This window comes from Homo sapiens, chromosome 5 (genome assembly GCF_000001405.40).
Source record: "Homo sapiens chromosome 5, GRCh38.p14 Primary Assembly".
Taxonomy (NCBI): Eukaryota; Metazoa; Chordata; class Mammalia; order Primates; family Hominidae; genus Homo; species Homo sapiens.
This window is the reverse complement of record NC_000005.10, coordinates 146,272,794-146,291,439: the sequence shown is the minus strand read 5'-3', so window position 1 is coordinate 146,291,439 and position 18,646 is coordinate 146,272,794. Positions and strand designations below refer to the sequence as shown.

Here is an 18,646-nt window from a genome sequence, read left to right as displayed (position 1 = left end):
GCCCTTACAAATTAAATTTAAAATTAGAAGAAATATATCAGTATCTCACAGTGATAGAAGTCTGGAGGCAAACTAAGAAGTAAAATCACAAGGACTTTAGAAAACTATTAATAAGACATTCATCTTTATAAGGTTTTTACAAAGGCGTGTTAAGAATTTAATCAACAGAAATGGCTAAGTGCTGAAAAGGCGTGTTTCCGCCCCTATATTTGCCTTCAAAGAATTGAGTAAATTACAATTTTGAACAATCAAGTGCTAAACCTGAACTCCAACTCTACATATTATTTTAAGAATTAGTAGGTCACTATATTCAAACTAGTAAAACTCTTATGAAGTTGGCTGGGGGTGGTGGCTCAAGCCTGTAATCCCAGCACTTTGGGAGGCCAAGGTTAGAGGATCACTTAAGATCAGGAGTTCACGACTAGCCTGGCCAACACAGTGAAACCCTGTCTCTACTAAAAATACAAAAATTAGCCAAGATCATGCCACTACACTCCAACCCGGGCAACATAACAAGACTCCATCTCAAAAAAAAAAAAAAAAAAAAAAAAAAAAAAAAAAAAAAAAAAACACCTCTATGAAGTGGTCAGAAAACTGAAGTGGAAGTGAGGTCAGAAATTCAGGCTTATCTTTATCTAAAACAAGCTAAGCGGTCTTCTTTCCTTGCTGCTCTTTCACAAAAAAATAATTTAATACAATTGCAAAGAAAAAGTAACAGCAATGTTAATCGTGCTTATGTTAACGAACACCACTACCACCACCACCACCACAAAAAGAAATGCTTGCAGAAGCCTAAGAGTAGATGGAAACACAAATAACTCACAATCATCCAACACTATTCTGCCCTTGATTTCACCCCATATCAAATTGCCTATCTTAGAATGTTGAAATGGTTTAGTTAACCTAAGGTCAACTGGAGAACAGGGAAGAGGCCAAATGGTAGATGATCCTGTTGAAAGGAGAGATCTTGGCAATAAAACCAATTTAGCATAAATGAAGGTGATTCATAATACAAGCAGTAGCAGTAGATTGCCTTTTCTTTTTTCTTTTCTGGGTCAATTTTGGTTGGTCTCTCAAGTTAGGTCTTTCAGACTAAAAATGAACATAAAATGAGCAGCTCTGCACAGCAAGGTAATGTTGGTCCATTTAGTCTAAAGCAACCCTATCATCCAATATCCCCACATGTTGATAAACACAATTCTGTGTTTACGGTAACATATCTAGATCCAGATTTGACTGTATGCTGGGGCTTATTCAAAATTTATCCTTGGCTTTAGCACAATTTACTTCAAAATCAGTAAAAATATCACATAAAATCATTAATTTCTGTTAATGAGAGCTCCATCTTAGTAAAACATTTGATTTGTTCAATAGATATAACTATGTTCAGAATTTGCCTGCTCCCTCCAAAAAAGTCCCAGAACTAATGTTTATTGTAAATATATTTAGGATTAATTATGATCTACTCAAAGCAAATGGTGACAAACAGCTTATTTGCTATTTACATAATACATAAAATAAATTTTATTTGAAAGGAATGAAAATAACTTTACTCTCATTCTTTGAGTATTTTCTTGTATAAGCTGAAATTCAAAGAATGTTCCTTCTTAAACAATGCATAATCATTGGAGGGGGAATTTTATAATAGCATTTTTTAAAATGGGAAAACCAGGTGATACACTTCCCTTCTCTTTCTCATCACCACCCAGTCCTTAGTGCATAACATCACTATCTTCCCGTTTGTCCTTACAAATCTTTGTCACATTCAGAACTGATTTATGTTTAAATCATCTCTTCTAGGTGTTTTTTCCCTTCTCCCTATTCTACTTAAGGAAAATGTCCCTCCTACTGATGGCAGGCATAATGAATATCCTCAAGACAACATTAAAATAATTGCTTTCAAGAAACTGTTTTGTGCTTTTTTATCTGGGATACCAAGAACCATCCAGGAACAAAATAATGTGGCTATCAAAGGTTACTTACAAGTAGCATTTTAATACCTTCTCTTTCATTCTCCAGGCTACTCTGTTGAGAAAGTTATCCTACTTAATATTTAATAGCCAGTGACTTCGAACCCAACTTCATATTGAGTGATGTTCTCTCATGTTTATGAACACAACATAAAACACACATACATAGCCACTACTCACTCACTCTCACAAGCAAGCATACACACACATTTTCTTTCTTTCCAGAACAAGCCAGAATTACAGCTCTTTTGGTGATTGTTATAATTTTTGGAATGGTTCATAAATTTTCCAAATTCTTTTAAATTTGTAATACTTTCATCTTTTTTCTTTTTTTTTTCCAATTGTGAACCATTCCATATTGCATCTTTATTGCAAAAGTCAACATGCTTCTTAGAAATTCAGATTGTAATTGATAAAACAAACATTACATATATGAATTTAAATGTATAAACAGTTAGAAATTCAACAATATCTCCTATTATACTATTACACAAGTTCACAATTTTGTAAAAACTATAATACAGGCATACTATACATCAAGAGGAACCACTATTCCTTTTCACATGATTTTTTTCTTTTTTGAAATAATGATCCATCACCAAGGACCCCTTTCACCTTAACAAGACTGTTTTCCAATTTATCATCTTAGCTGGTAACAACATTTCTTCAATGTTACATAAAGAAATTGAGGGAAATTTTGCAATACTTGGGGTTACCTTTTTATCTTGGACAGTGATCCACTAGTATATCAGGCTGACCTAGTCAACTGGTGGCTATTATTGCTGATCAGCTACTTAAAAAGATGTCATACACATTAAGAGGGACAGAACTTGCTTTAGATGCTGTATGTTATTTCTGTAAATGAAGATGCCAAGAAAACATGTATGGCAGTTATTCACTTTTAAGTGAAATTCTAACAGTTGAAGATTTGATGGTGGAAGTAAATCCCAAAGGGGGCAGGGGATATATATAAACTATTTTATGCTAACCTGAAGTTTTCCAGTATTATAATTAACTCACTTCAAATTCATCTTTGAGTCAAACATGTTTTAAAATTCTTTGAAAGCACACTTTTAAAGTATTTTTAGTCCTGTTTAAGGTGTACTGAAAACTTATAGAAAGGGCCTCAAACCTTACTGAAAAAACTGTTTTTCACTTTAACACACTTCTATCTTCTGCCCCCAATACTAAAAAGTCAAATTTTCAACTTTTTACTGAGAGTGAAATAAGATGTCCATTTTGAGGTCAAAAAAATCATATGAAAAGGAATCTCATTCTGTTGAACTGTCTACTGAAATTTTTCTTAGAGTTCCATTTATTTACTGTAATTTTCAGTTTCCAAATACAAAAATACAACAATTCTTATTGAAATCTATACGCTGGTAGTTTTAGTACACAAAAAAAAAACCCAAACAAATTATTTACAAAATTATACAGTTTAAGAAAAAACTTTGTACAAAAAATATATAAATCCTTTGTTCCCTCTATCACGTTTAAACTGTCAGGACTCAAAATATTCACCACAATGAATCTTTCAAAATATATACTGACTGAGCCACAGACATCAAGAAAAATTTCATTAGAGATGATGGAGGAGTAAGGAGCAAGATTGTGTATTCTAGATACACCATTCTGATGTTTTCCTTCTTTTATAAGCTTATTTTACCTTCAGTGTTACTAGAAATATAACAATAACCTAGAAAAAGGAAGTCCTCATTATTATGAAAGAAAATTATATGAACTTAAAAATGACCCTGGTTTGACACATCATTCCAGGAAAACATGTAGAAGAATAAAGATTATCAGAACGTGGGATTTAACTTCTTATAGCTAAGTAAATCTAGAATCCTGATGGTTTTAAGTTCTTAGTGAATAGTTTCTATATTGAGAAATTGTCTTTACCTCAGCAAACAAAATCCTTGATATAGTGGTCACCAAGACCCTTTTGGAGACAACAGGAGGTTTCAAATTTTCATACCACACATATATAAAAACACAGATGTGTATATCCTTGAAAAAGTGACAGCCTAGGTACATTAATCATTTTATTTTCCCAGGGGTCAGTACAGTGTAGTGTTGCTCCTCTGCTTTTCCATCTAACATTCAGAACACGAAGACATAAATTTACATATATATTTTACTTAACAGATACTCTACTCTATACAGTGTACAGTAAAAATGCACACAGTAAAGGAAACTGTCTACTGAGGGATGCGTATGTTCATGGATAGCAACAAGCTACAAAATTATGAAAAAATAAGGTCATCTGAACAAAGTCATATATGACTCCCATTTATTACTAGCATACTCAGCCCTCAACCCCCTCCCACCTCCACCCCCCACCCCCCAGTCACCTCACCATCATGGTTTAAATTTAGGAAAAGAATTTCAGACATTTTTAAACCCTTCTGTGTAACTATACTGAACTGAAGCTTCAAAAGAGGGAAAAAATAAAGCTGGTGATTCTCTTCTCCCCAAAATCCTTCCATCATTCTCATCAAAACATCACTTATTTATCCAGGTGCTGGTTTGAACCTTTTATTGGAGACTGCCTGCGGTTGCCCAAATGAACCACTTATATCAATGATGACTAAGTCAGGCCTATTAATAGAAAGGCAAGAGGAAGAAAAGGGGGACGAGAAAGGGGCAATAGGTGAAAGCCTTTTACATTCTGAGTTATAAAAATTTTTAAAAAGACCAGCCGAACCAGCGCTCACTAAATATCAAAGCAAACTAAGAATCAGTAGCAGGAAAAGTCCAGGAGTTCATATGACAAGAGAATGGAAATACTATAGAGCTAGCTACCATTGCTGTAGCATTTAAGAACACACAGTTTGTTGTGATTTTCACTGAACTAGTACTACCACACATAAAAACCATGAAAAACAAATTTAGACTGAATACAAATTGGGCTCCTCCAAAGTAAAAAAAAAAAAAAATTAAAATTAAAATAAACATATTTTTCTTCCAAGACCACTCTTGAAAGCAAAAGGGTATTTTAATTACAAATATTTCCTACTGTCTGATGACCCATCCATAACAACTGAGAGTTAAAAGATTACAGGTGATTTTGACATTTAATTAAATTTTATCAGTAGATTATAATCCAAAATAAAATTTCTGAACACCCTGTCATTTACATCATAATCCAACACCAACAGCAACAAAAAAAAGGTGGTGTGGAAAATAAGGCTCTAGAGATTATCCATGTCATTGCTGTGGATCTTCACAACTGTGTAAAAGTCACTAGGCCTTTGGTGCTTTAATATCATGTACAGTTATGAGATGTGTTTAAATAGCAAACTTGCTGTTCTTGAACCTACTGTGTTGAAAAGAAAAATAAAAAAATTTTTTTTGGCTCATTGACTTCTTTTAAATAATTTTTAAAAGTTGTTCTTCTAAACAATATTCCTAAAAATTATACAGCTAGCATCAGATTTCATCTTCGCCATGAGCGAGACTCATATTCATCTTCATCTTCATCGTCATCATCAGGCAAAAACAAATCTGAGGTTTCTGTTTCCTGAAGAAAGAGAGGTTAAAATCTGCTTAGTGGCACAAGAATGGTAAGTAAAATACTTTTTAGGCCAAAGGACAAACAGGCTAGTATACAAAGCCCAGGCTAGATTTCATAAGGGATGCATGCAAGAGTATCTTTCAGGGCAAAAAAAAAAAAAAGCCCAAAATATTTTTGTAAATGAATATGAATTCTTCTCCCCTGCTAATTTTGCTACTTTTAATAGGAGATTTCTACTCTAATATCATCAGGAAAATAATGTGGACATTTAGTACAGAAAATTTAAAAAAGACTATGAGATACATTTCTGATAAATTAAAATTAATTTTATTCTATAAAAAATTAGGAAAATAAATGACCAAACACCTAAATCTTTGTTTTTATATCCATCCAATTGTTTGTGAGAGGTGAATATACTAGCTTCCCCATGACACTGATATTCCAAATCTTATATAAAAATCTAAAATCTTAGACAAAGTAGATGTATCTGCAAACACTACCCAAATACCATGACTTCTGTTTTTCTTTTAATCTAGGGAACATTTCTGCTTTTGCTGTGTAAAATTACCTATATAGTGAGAAGACACTTGATCAAACTATAAATGCTAGCTAGGTATCTTTTAAAACCAAGATTGTCATATAAATCAGGAAAACCTCGCAATATAGCCTAAGTGTTCACTAAATAAACTAATGATAAACAACAGGAGTAAAAAAGCAAAATAAATTCTCATATATTTTAAGAAGCTGATTATTCAGTACTTTTATTATTTAGGTCTTTAGTTTTCCAATTCTCTCCTCTATGTTCAACTTCTGCACACTCTGATTTTAACCAATTGTACACAGAAGGAAAATAAGAAACTCAAATCTATTACTATGGAACTTGAATAAACAAAAAGTGAAACCAACCAATTAAAGTTTAATTCATTTATGTAATCTCTGACTTTATTCATCAGAATAAAAATTTCTAGAGCTCAAATAAATCCAATATAAATGTAAACAAAAAAGAACAGTCTTTCCTATATCAGAAGAAAATAACCCCTAACACAGCTTCTTATATCTCTAGACCTGTTTTAATTCTCTAATAAACATCTAAACGGGTCTTAATTTGCATGCATGAAAGAAAAACCCAGCATTTTTTAATTTATACTATTTAATATCATAAAAAATACATAATTGAGAAGTGATCTAATTCAACTCTTATTTCCAACCACTAAATTTACCTCCTCCTTGACTTCTTCTTCTTCAGTCTCAGTGGATATAGATGGTACCTTGGGCTTGTGCCATGATATCTGTAGCCGACGGTCTTTAAATTTTGGCCCTTGGTTTGCGGTCTAAAATATATATTAGAAGAACATACAAGTTTGCACTCAAATTTACTAATGATTTCTGCAAATTCTGTGTTATTTAAAAAGTATAACATAGGGCAGGAGAGAAATCTGTTAAGGTGGATCTACAATCTCCAATGAGAGCTAAAAAAAATAAAGTCCCTTTTAATTAGAGCAACTATATGTTCTGGTTTGCCTAGGATAACCCATGGTTTATATCTGTGTCAGGTAAATGTTAGCATCTGTCTTGGTTGAAGAAATAATTTTTTTTCTAAGTAGAGTTGCTCTACTTACAAAAGTCATGATGAGGACAAGAAATATTCTTAATACAGGTATTGACCTTTGGCTTTGATATCTACATATATAGACTCAAACCTTAGAAAAAAGGTGAATCATCTGCTTATTCATCTCACTGCATCTCTCACAGCCCCACCTATGTTGGATAAAGTTCTTCTTATTTCCACTTCTGAAACGCTATACACTAATAAGCACCTCCCAGCTCATCTATGCATTCAATAAACATTAAACAAATGCCTAATACTATCCTAACTCATAAAACTGCTCCATTTCAAATGTTACTTGGTACTAATTTTTAAACATTTTTTTCTCCCCAGCAAATTCCAATAGGGGAAAGCAAATTTTAAAGACAAAGCAACACAGACAAGGGACTAGGGATCCAAAGTTTCAGAAAAGTAGAAGTTTAGCCATCCCTATAGCTTTCCTATCAAAGGTCCTCATTTATAGAACTGGGGGTTCTAAAAAACATAATAGAAGAGATTCTTTTTTATTTGGGCTTTCATTCTAGTCTATCTAGCAAAATCATTGCTAAACCTCCTGAAGCATTTGCCAAATGTTTCCATAAAACACTTGGAGCATAGCATGGTGAGAATGTACATTAGAGCAGACTCATAAATCCATTACTGCCTGCACAGACATCGTCCTGTGTTCTAAGGGAAAAATTCCCACCATTCCTTGAAGGGTCTAAATGCTCATAACCTAACACCAAACATTATGACTCATGGGACATACCAAACTGATGTATCAAAATAGCCCTACCAAATATAGATATGTACCTTTTTTTTTTCTTTTTGAGACAGGGTCTTGCTCTGATTCCCAGGCTGGAATGTGCAGTGGGAAGATCACACTCACTGCAGCCTCGACTCCCTGGGTCCAAGTGATCCTCCCACTTCAGCTTCCCAAGGAGCTGAGACCACAGGCATGCACCACCTCACCTGGCTAATTTTTTTATTTTTATAGACGGGGTCTCCCGATGTTGCCCAGGCTGGTCTCAAACTCTTGGGCTCGAGGAATTCTCCCACCTTAGCCTCCCAAAGTGTTGGAATTACAGGCACGAGCCACAGCACCTGGTCTATATTTACCATCTTTTAAAAATTAGGTAATGTACGTAACAGAGATCCTTTACCCTTTACTCTATCCTTTAACACACAGCCCAATTATAGAGAGGCTTTCCCTGCTTGTTTTGTTCATTTCTTTATTATTTGAATTTCTAAATAAAAACATATTACTTTTATAAACAGAAAAAGTAATAAAGATTTTTAAATCTGTAATAACTGTGTTGCTCTCCAAAGAGGATAAGAGGTCTGTCCTCCAAAAGGAATATTAAGGCATTAAATGTATTGCATATACATTATTAAAGGAAGAATAAGAAATGTATACAGAGTCTGAAATTAAGAACAAATAATTTCTACTATCTAACTTACAACAAATCAAATAAATTAGCAATTAGAATAAAGATATATTATGACGCTACCAAGTTAGGAATTCTCATACACAAATGGTGAGAATCTCAAACTGATTCTAAACTGGTAAGAATCTAAAACTGATGGGGTTCACTCAGCAATTCCACATACAGTCATCACTTGGTGTTTCTGGGGGACTGGTTCCAGGACTCTCTGTGAATACCAAAATCCATGAATGCTCAAGTCATTTACATAAAATAGTGTAGTATTAGCATGTAATCTACACACATTCTCCTATATACTTTGAATCCTCTCTAGATTACTTATAATATCTAATGCAATGTAAAAGCTATGTAAATAGTTGTTATACTGTATTGTTTAGGGAATAATGACAAAAAATGTACATGCTCAGTACAGATGCAACCTTTCATTTTTTTCCCAATATTTTTGATCCAAAATAGGTTGAATCCATGGAGGTGAAACCCACACATATGAAGGGCCAACTGTATATCCAAGAGAAATGGTGTGTACATGTGTAGTTAAAAACATGTATAAGATAGCAACACTGCTTACAAAAGCCACATAGTAGAAATAACCCAAACATCCATCAGTAAGAGGATGAGGCTGGGTGCGGTGGCTCACGCCTGTAATCCTAACACTTTGGGAGGCCGAGGTGGGCGGATCACCTGAGGTCAGCAGTTCAAGACCAGCCTGTCCAACATGGAGAAACACCATCTCTACTAAAAATACAAAAATTAGCCAGGGGTACTGGCACACGCCCATAATCCCAGCTACTCAGGAGGCTGAGGCAGGAGAGAATCGCTTGAACCCATGAGGTGGAGGTTGCCAAGAGCCGAGATCGCGCCACTGTGATCTGGCCTGGGCAACAGAGTGAGACTCCATCTCAAAAAAAAAAAAAAAAAAAAAGATGAAAAATAAACTGTGGTATATTGATACAACTATTATATAGTAATAAAAATGGCAAATTAATGTTACATGTAAAAACATGAATGAGTCTCACAAACATTAAACAGAAGAAGCCAAGCACAAAAGAATATACACTGTGTGATTCCATTTACATAACATTTTAAAAACAGGCAGAATACTACTCTAATATTTAGGAATGCATATTTAGGTGATAAAACTACAGTCAATTCTCATTACTTGCAGTAGTTTTGTTCTAAAAAGTTGATGCAAACATTTAACTGGCAAATAGCCACTACTTATAGGGGAAATAGAATTAGACTCTTATGAGCCTCTAGAGCAACCTTGTCCAACCTGTGGCCCATGGGCCACATATGGCCCAGGATGGCTTTGAATGCAGCCCAACACAAATTTCATAAACTTTCTTAAAACACTATGAGATTTTTTTTTCCTGTTCATCAGGTATCATTAGTGTTAGTGTATTTTATGTGTGGCCCAAGACAATTATTCTTCTTCCAGTGTGGTCCAGGGAAGCCAAAAGATTGGACACTCCTGTTTTAGAGGGTCACAACATTTTTGTCAGCTAATCAACACAAACTTTGGTTTTATGTGTTTCTGTTGAAAGACATCTTATTTAATATATGTTACTGATTCATTAACATTGAACTCATGGCCAAAAGCACTCACTCATGCCTGAACAAAGCTTAACTAACACATGTATCTTTGTAAGGCATATCACAGCCTTGCACTTAGGAACACTAGACAGGACTTTAGAACTACATTCGGGGGCCATTTAAAACAGTTTAATCACCAAGAAAACAAAAAAAATTGAGAAAAATGTGGCATTAAATAGACTGCAAAGGCTGGGCGCAGGGGCTCACGCCTGTCATCCTAGCACTTTAGGAGGCCGATGTCAGGAGTTTGAGACCAACCTGGCCAACATGGTGAAACCTCGTCTCTACTACTAAAAATACAAAAATTAGTTGGGTGTGGTGGTGGGCGCCTGTAATCCCAGCTACTAGGTAGGCTGAGGCAAGATAATCACTTGAACCCGGGAGGCGAAGGCTGCAGTGAGCCAAGATCATGCCACTGCACTCCAGCCTGAGTGACAGAGCGAGACTCTGTCTCAAAAATAAATAAATAAATAAATAAAACAAATAGACTGCAAAAGGGGCATTTGTTTACAGTATAAAAGCTGAAACAAGAAGGCATAGCACCACCTTATTTCTATCTCAGCTGAAAACGGGCTCATGAGGGGACTGGCAACTGTGTGTATGTCTGAGAATGACCACAAAACACCATAAGTATTGATTTTGGGGTTACAAATAAATTTTAGTGAGTAGATGAATTGGCAAATGTGGAATCTGAAAATAATAAGGATTGACTGTATAAAGAAAGCAAGGTGACTATCATAAAGTGAGGCTAACAGTTACTGCTCTGAGAAGGAGAGAAGATAGATAGAGGCTGGAGGGAGCAACAAGGGAGATTGGGGTATTGGAAATGTTCTATTTCTTGACCTGAGGTATAGGTATATTAGGTGTTTGCCTTCTCATAAATCATTGAACTATATGTTTATGATCAGTATAGTTGGTTTTTATAAACATTTTTAGTTGACTATAGGTATAACCTTTAAAAATTTTAAGGAAATAGGTCGGGCGTGGTGGCACATGCCTATAATCCCAGCCCTTTGAGGCTGAGGCAGGTAGATCACCTGAGTTCAGGAGTTTGAGACCAGCTGGCCAACATGGTGAAACCTCATCTCTACTAAAAATACAAAAATTAGCTGGGCGCGGTGGTGCATGCCTATAATCCCAGCTACTCAGGAGGCGAAGAAAGGAGAATCCCTGAACCTGGGAGGTGGAGGTTGCAGTGAGCTGAGATCGTACCACTGCACTCCGGCCTGGGTGACAGGTGACTTGAGACTCTGTCTCCAAAAAAAAAAAAAATTAAAGGAATACCAGATAGCTAAGATTTTTATGTGAAAAAGGCAAGGTTTGGAATGCAGCCCTGTATGTATAATACGATCACATTTTCGTAAATGTTTTTAAAGTGAGAAGCTTTATATATGTTTTCTTACATACATAGTATTTTTCTATAAAGATACCTAAGAATAGTGACTATCTTTTAAGAATGGAAAAAGATTAATAAAAGGGAGATTTTACTTTTATTAGTCATACTTTTTTTTTTTTTTTTTTTGAGACAGAGTCTTGCTCTATTGCCCAGGCTGGAGTGCAGTGGCGCAATCTGGGTTCACTCCAACCTCCACCTCCTGGGCTCAAGCAATTCATGTGCCTCAGGCTCCCGAGTAGCTGCGACTACAGGCAGATGCCACCACAGCTAGCTAATTTTTGTATTTTTTGTTGAGATAGGGTTTTGCCATGTTGGCCAGGCTGGTCTCAAACTCCTGAGGTCAGGTGATCCACCCGCCTCGGCCTCCCAAAGTGCTGTGATTATAGGCGTGAGCCACCGTACCTGGCCCTAGTCATCCTTTTAACCATTTGCATACATTATATTTTTATTTTTAAAAGTTTTGTTTTTTTTTTGTTTTTTTGTTTTTTAGACAGAGTCTCACTCTGTCGCCCAGGCTGGAGTGCAGTGGCGCGATCTCGGCTCACTGTAACCCGCCTCCCAGGTTTAAGTGATTCTCCTGCCTCAGCCTCCTGAGTAGCTGGGACTCCAGGTGCACGCCACCATGCCCGGCTAATTTTCTGTATTCTTAGTAGAGATGGGGTTTCACTGTGTCAGCCAGGATGGTCTCAATCTCCTGACCTCGTGATCCACCCACCTGGGGCTCCCAAAGTGCTGGGATTACAGGTGTGAGCCACCGCACCCAGCCCTAAAAAGTACTTTTTAAAAAAATCTAGGATTAATCTCTTAACATATTTGTTACTTATTACAGTACCTAATTGTTCTACACATACATATACATTCTCTCACATACACATCTAAATATGGTTTAAAATGATAAAATATTGGGAAAAAAGGCCAGGCGCAGGGGCTGATGCCTGTAATCCCAGCACTTTGGGAGGCAGAGGCGGGCAGATCACGAGGTCAGGAGATCGAGACCATCCTGGCTAACACGGTGAAACCCCGTCTCTACTCAAAATACAAAAAATTAGCCAGGCGTGGTGGCGAGTGCCTGTAGTCCCAGCTACTCGGGAGGCTGAGGCAGGAGAATGGCATGAACCTGCGAGGCGGAGCATGCAGTGAGCTCAGACTGCATCACTGCACTCCAGCCTGGGAGGCAGCCAGACTCCGTCTCAAAAAAAAAAAAAAATTGGGAAAAAATTGGATGTCCATCAATACAGGATGGTTCAACTGTAGTATTATATATCTGTGCAATGAAATACCATGCAGTCATTAAAAAGAATGAAGCAACACCACATGCACTAGTGTAGAACAATTTAAAATCTAATATAAAGTAAAAGTACATATGGCAAAACGGTGTTGTATAACATGCTACCATTTTTATAAAAGAGAGAACAAATAATATATATAGAGAGAGAATATCTTTAAGCAGATGTATGAGAAACTCGTAACAATAATTGTCTATGGGGAGTGAAATTGAGTGACTGGAGGTAGAAGGAAATCTTATTTTTCATTGTATACACTTTTATTCCTTTTTCATTTTGTTTACGTGTGTTGGCCAAGGAAATAATTCAAATAAAATACATATATATGTGAATATGAGATCAACTATATATACCATAAATTAAAAATTATATGCATATTAGGGTTCTTGGTAGAAGCTGCTCAAAGAGAAATTCATCTAGTCCAGCCATTTTCCCCGATTAGAAACTGACGCCCAATCTATGCCAGTCATCATGTATCAATCAACTGACTGGCAGATAAAAAAACAAAATTCAAGTGCTATATGAGGGAATGAGCAAATAGGTACTCTCATCCAATGTCACTACAAGTATAAATTAGTACAACATTCTGAAGGGTTATTTAGCGAGCTGTACCAAAATTTCAATGCATGCCTTTGATCCAGTTATCTCCTTCCTAGGAATTTACCTAAAGCAGTGGTTCTCAATTGGAGACATCACTCTAGCAGGTATTTTGGCAGTCACACTGACTAAGTAGCACTTACTGGCAATTAGTAGGTGGTAGCCAGGGGTGCCAGAAGTTTTACAATGTGCAGCACTGTCCCACATAATGAAAAATTATTGGCCAGGCGCGGTGGCTCATGCCTGTAATCCCAGCACTTTGGGAGGCCGAGGTGGGAGGTCACCTGAGATCAGGAGTTTGAGACCAGCCTGACCAACATGGTGAAACCCCGCCTCTACTAAAAATACAAAAAAAAAAAAAAAATTAGCTGGGCCTGGTGGCGGGCGCCTGTGGTCCCAGCTGCTCGGGTGGCTGAGGCAGGAGAATGGCATGAACCCAGGAGGTGGAGGTTGCAGGGAGCCAAGATCGTGCCACTGCACTCCAGCCTGGGTGACACAGCAAGACTCCGTCTCAAAAAAAAAAAAAAAAAAAAAAATTATCCCAGTAAATATGCTAAATCTAACATGATGTATATAACATTGTTCATAATAGTTAAATGGTAAACAACCTACCTAACTCATCAATAGGGGGCTGTACATAAAAATTATGGCATATTCTTATAACAGAATGCCTTCAAATAAGACAAATGTATATCTATATTCATAAACATGAACAATTCTCCATGATACACTATGGATGTAAAAACAAACTCCAAAACAGCATGGGTAGTATGTATACATATGACAGATACAGGTGCTAGAAAGATGTTCATAAAAATGTAATTGGTAAGATTTCAAATTTGTTGTGCCTTCTCCTTTATAATTTGTATTGTTTGAATGTTCTAAAAGCAGTAACTACCTTTGTAAAGAAATTTTCAAAATTAAGAGAAAAAATTACAGCAGTTTAGAGTTTCAATGTCTTTGTAAAGGTCACAGAATTACCATTGCCATATTTCACTCCTAGAACTAGCTACGAAAATTATATTTTCACCTGAAGAACCCTGAACACAGTAAAGTGTGCAGAAAAGGTAAACTCCTGATCACTTGTGACAGATAACAACAGTAAATGGTCATAGCTCACAAATCACCCATATTACCTTTTAAATTTAATTTAAGTTGTTTTGTAAAGATAGGGTCTCACTATGCTGCCCAGGTTGGTCTTGAACTTCTGGGCTCAAGCAATCCTCCCACCTCAGCCTCCCAAAGTGCTGGGATTACAGGCAGGTGCCACCAAGCCAGGCCTACATTACTTTTTTAACAAGGTCTGATGAAGGGCAATCAATGAAGCACTATCTAAAAAACTTTCTCCAAATGTTAAATACACAGAAAAGGTTAATTTTTGTTCTGGAAAGCACAAAAGAAAACTATCTGCCTAACTATAAAGTATCATTTCCATGTACAGTAAAATTCTCAAATATATTTTTCAGATACTTGGAAGATGGGGGAAAATCCCTGTCTTGAGAGGCTGTGGGGAAAAGCTAACTATGTGCGAAGTCTTTGGTAATTACAGCAGAGGTATTCTGTTGCCTCATATGAAGTTCCAGGAATGACAGGAGTGAGACATTAGAGGTTTTTGCCAGTAAGAACATAAAAATTATAACGAATTATATAAATATTGTGGGAGCACAGGTTCTAAACAGTACTTTAGAGATAAACCTCTTACTTTCTCAAGACTCAAAGGGTCTTCTGGCTAAAGATGGGGAACTGACCATCTGTCGTATGCAATTTCATACCCTTCCCCAGACACCCACTGAAATGACAGTAGAATAATTTATTTTTTTAAGGTATAAATCCGTAACAAAAAAATAAAAGAAAACACGACAAGGTCAAAAAAAAACTGGAGAGGTGGGAAGCAGAAAGATTAATGGGAAGTCAATATATAATGCTTACAATTTAGAAATCAAGAAGTAACAGTAAAAACAGGAATTTAAAAAAAGAAAAAAAAACTAGCCAGGTGCAATGGCTCATGCCTGTAATCCCAACATTTTGGGAGGTCAAGGCAAGAGGAAAAAAGCCTAATAAAAGGCAACATGGTAGGATAGAAGAAGAGAAATATATTAATCTGAGCAGCTGAATTTCTGAATTGATCAATCCTAAAACCTAACTCTAGACTTCTTGAAAAGAAGGAAAAATTCAAAATTCTTACAGTTAAATGAGCCACACTACTTGAAAAATATCAAAGTACAGTCTATATATTCCAAATATTTAGAGAAAATAACTTTTCCTGTTGTATCTAGCCGAACCTCCCTTCAACAGGGATGAAGTACTTTAGTTTTTGTCCCATCTGTGCCCTTGGCAAGGCTCTGAGTTAAAATTTTCAGCTTCTGAATTAAACTTTAATTATAAATACTTAACATTAACTTCATTAAGATATTAAAAATCTTAAGATTTCTGTGAAATAAAGATAGGTAAATAAAGATTTTTCTATTTTTTAAAAAGTTCTTTCTGGGCCGGGCGCAGTGGCTCATGCCTATAATCCTAGCACTTTGGGAGGCTAAGGCAGTGGATCACCTGAGGTCAGGAGTTTGAGACCAGGCTGGCCAACATGGTGAAACCCGTCTCTACTAAAAAACACAAAAAAATTAGCCAGGAGGTGTACGCCTGTAATCCCAACTACTGGAGGGACTGAGGTAGGTGAATCACTTGAACCTAGGAGGCGGAGATTGCAAGGGAGTCGAGATCACACCACTGCACTCCAGCCTGGGCGACAGAGCAAGACTCCGTCTCCAAAAAAATAAAAAATAAAAAAAAATTAAAATTAAAAAGTTCTTTCTGGATTCGCTGATTTTGATCTTTAAAATATATAAAATTATATTTATATATTTCAATTATGTTTAACTTAAATATTTGATATATAAAGTAACATAATAACATACCAGGGGTCTGCATACTACAGCCCTCAGGATAAATGTAGCCCAGCACCCTGTTTTTAACGACCCAGGAGCTAAGAATGGTTTTTACATTTTTGAAAAGGTTATTAAAAGAAAAATATGTTCATCCATTGAAGTACAAAGAAGAAAAAGAAAAAAAAGAAAAAGAACTAGAAAGGAAAGAGGAAGAGAGGGAAGAGCAGGTGAAAGGAGAGAAGACAATGTAAAGGAGATCATCTGTATCTCCTCACAAAAAACCTAAAGTATTTACTATCTAGTCCTTTACAGAAAAAGTCTGCTGATCTCTGATACATACTATTAATATATTTATATATTAATGTATGTTTTTATGCTGTTATATATATAACCTGCACTGTAAATTAAATATTCTATGTATTTTAAATTTGTATATGCTTTAATGTAAATATACCTTTCATATAAGTACCTGGGACCAAAAAGATCGAGATCAATCAATATCCTCAAATTTGGTTTTAAAATACATAATATAAAACACTGATGCTTCATCCCAAAAGTGAATGTGAAGAAAAAAGTCTGATTTTAAAAGTAGTATGTGTGGGCCGGGCACGGTGGCTCATGCCTGTAATCCCAGCACTTTGGGAGGCCAACGCGGCCGGCGGGCAGTTATCACTGGAGGCCAGGAGTTTGAGACCAGCCTGGCCAACATGGCAAAACCCCATCTCTAGTAAAAAATACAGAAAAATTAGCTGGGTGTGGTCGTGCGTGCCTGTAGTCTCAGCTACTCAGGAGGCTGAGGCACGAGAATCGCTTGAACCCAGGAGGCAGAGGTTGTAGTGAGCTAAGATCATGCCACTACACTCCAGCCTGGGTGACAGATGGAGACTGTCACAAAAAACAGAAAACAAAAAACAAAAAAAAGATAACCACCTATTAAAAAAAAAAAGGAGTATGTGTTCCTCAGGAAGTATGGAAAATAGAGAAATGCTAATACTACTAACACTAAAAATACAAAAATTAGCTGGGTGTGGTGGCTAACACCTGTAATCCCAGCTACTCAGGAGGCTGAGGCAGGATAATCGCTTGAACCCAGGAGGTGGAGGTTGCAATGAGCCAAGATCGTGCCATTGCACTCCAGCCTGGGCGACGAGAGCAAAACTCCGTCTCAAAAAAAATACATTTTTAAAGGCAGCAAAACACTGTCAAACATTTACATGGTTATCATTTTTCACTATTACATGCACTATAATGAGCATACTTATAGCTGCCATTTGCATACGACCATAATCCACTTATGATAAGTTCTTAGACTATTGAAGAGCAAACTCTGAAGGACTCCAGAATTAGATTCCAAATAGCTTCATTAAAATCCATCCATCATTTTCTCATATAGATATGGCTCACCCATGATCCTTTCATAATCATTAAGAATAGAAGAATACTGAAAATATAGATTTTACCTTGGCCTCTGTGAGATACAAAAGACCTTGAAGAAGAGTTTCCTTTTATGTTTGCTAACTCTATTCGCAATAATGCCTAAGAATATGTATTTCTGTATTTCTTTCAAAGAAAGCATACTATATTGCCCAGGTAGTTATTATCAGGGAAGTGTGCTCCTAGTACTCAATACCCTTTCTGATAGTATGCTATCAAAAAAGAAAAAAAAAGAGCCATCCAAATCAAAGGAAGTGTTTTGTTCTTGAAGTTACCTCATCTGCCTTAGCTTTGCTTGCTCTTTTCTAAGTGTCTAGACATAACCACATCTGCCAACTGAATGCCACACTGCAGACTTGTCAGGTATATGTACATAAAAATTGGTTATTTTTAGATGCTTTAGAATGGTTCTACTTTTCAGAAGGAAGGAGATCCATTTGAGCATGGCTTCTGGGTTAAAATTTAAACATCTACATATAGTCTCCAGTGACCACAGGATAGAACATGTAGCTGTCTCCCTAGTAAGATTAACTATTTTTTGTAACTGAAACTTTCTGCAATGAGTCAAATTTGTAGAAATTCTGCTTCACATAATCCAATATCACCTCACCAGAACTGGTACTGGTTCTACAAGACCAATTTATTTGGCAAAGAGATTTTAATTTTATATACTAAACCTTAAAAGGCAAAAATCAACATTCGTGCGGCCTTCACAATACACTGCACTTGTATAGTGTTCCTCCATCTTCTTTACTCCTCAAGAAGTCACTTAGAGCTATTCTCCCACTTTACAAAAAAGGCAAATAAGGGTTACATCAGGGAAAGAACTGGGTCAAGAGTGAACCATTCACAACCCAGAGGACATTCAAATCTGGACACTTTTCTTGGCCTATCTTCCCCAAGAATCAGGGTGAAACAGGGTTAATGGGCATCAAACTAAT

General features: G+C 36.2%; 2 protein-coding genes across 2 annotated transcripts in view; both read right to left on the bottom strand.

The window, feature by feature from the left end:
- RBM27-POU4F3 (RBM27-POU4F3 readthrough) overlaps window positions 1–18,646 on the bottom strand; it is a 138,124-nt gene that overhangs the window by 50,289 nt on the left and 69,189 nt on the right. The window lies entirely within an intron of this gene.
- Window positions 2,217–18,646, bottom strand: part of RBM27 (RNA binding motif protein 27) — an 85,619-nt gene continuing 69,189 nt past the window's right edge. The window contains exons 20-21 of the mRNA NM_018989.2: window positions 6,708–6,818; window positions 2,217–5,493 (exon numbers count right to left, since the gene is read on the bottom strand). Coding sequence (NP_061862.1) covers window positions 5,410–5,493; window positions 6,708–6,818 — 195 coding nt within the window. The 3' untranslated portion in view covers window positions 2,217–5,409. The remainder of the gene's footprint in view (window positions 5,494–6,707; window positions 6,819–18,646) is intronic.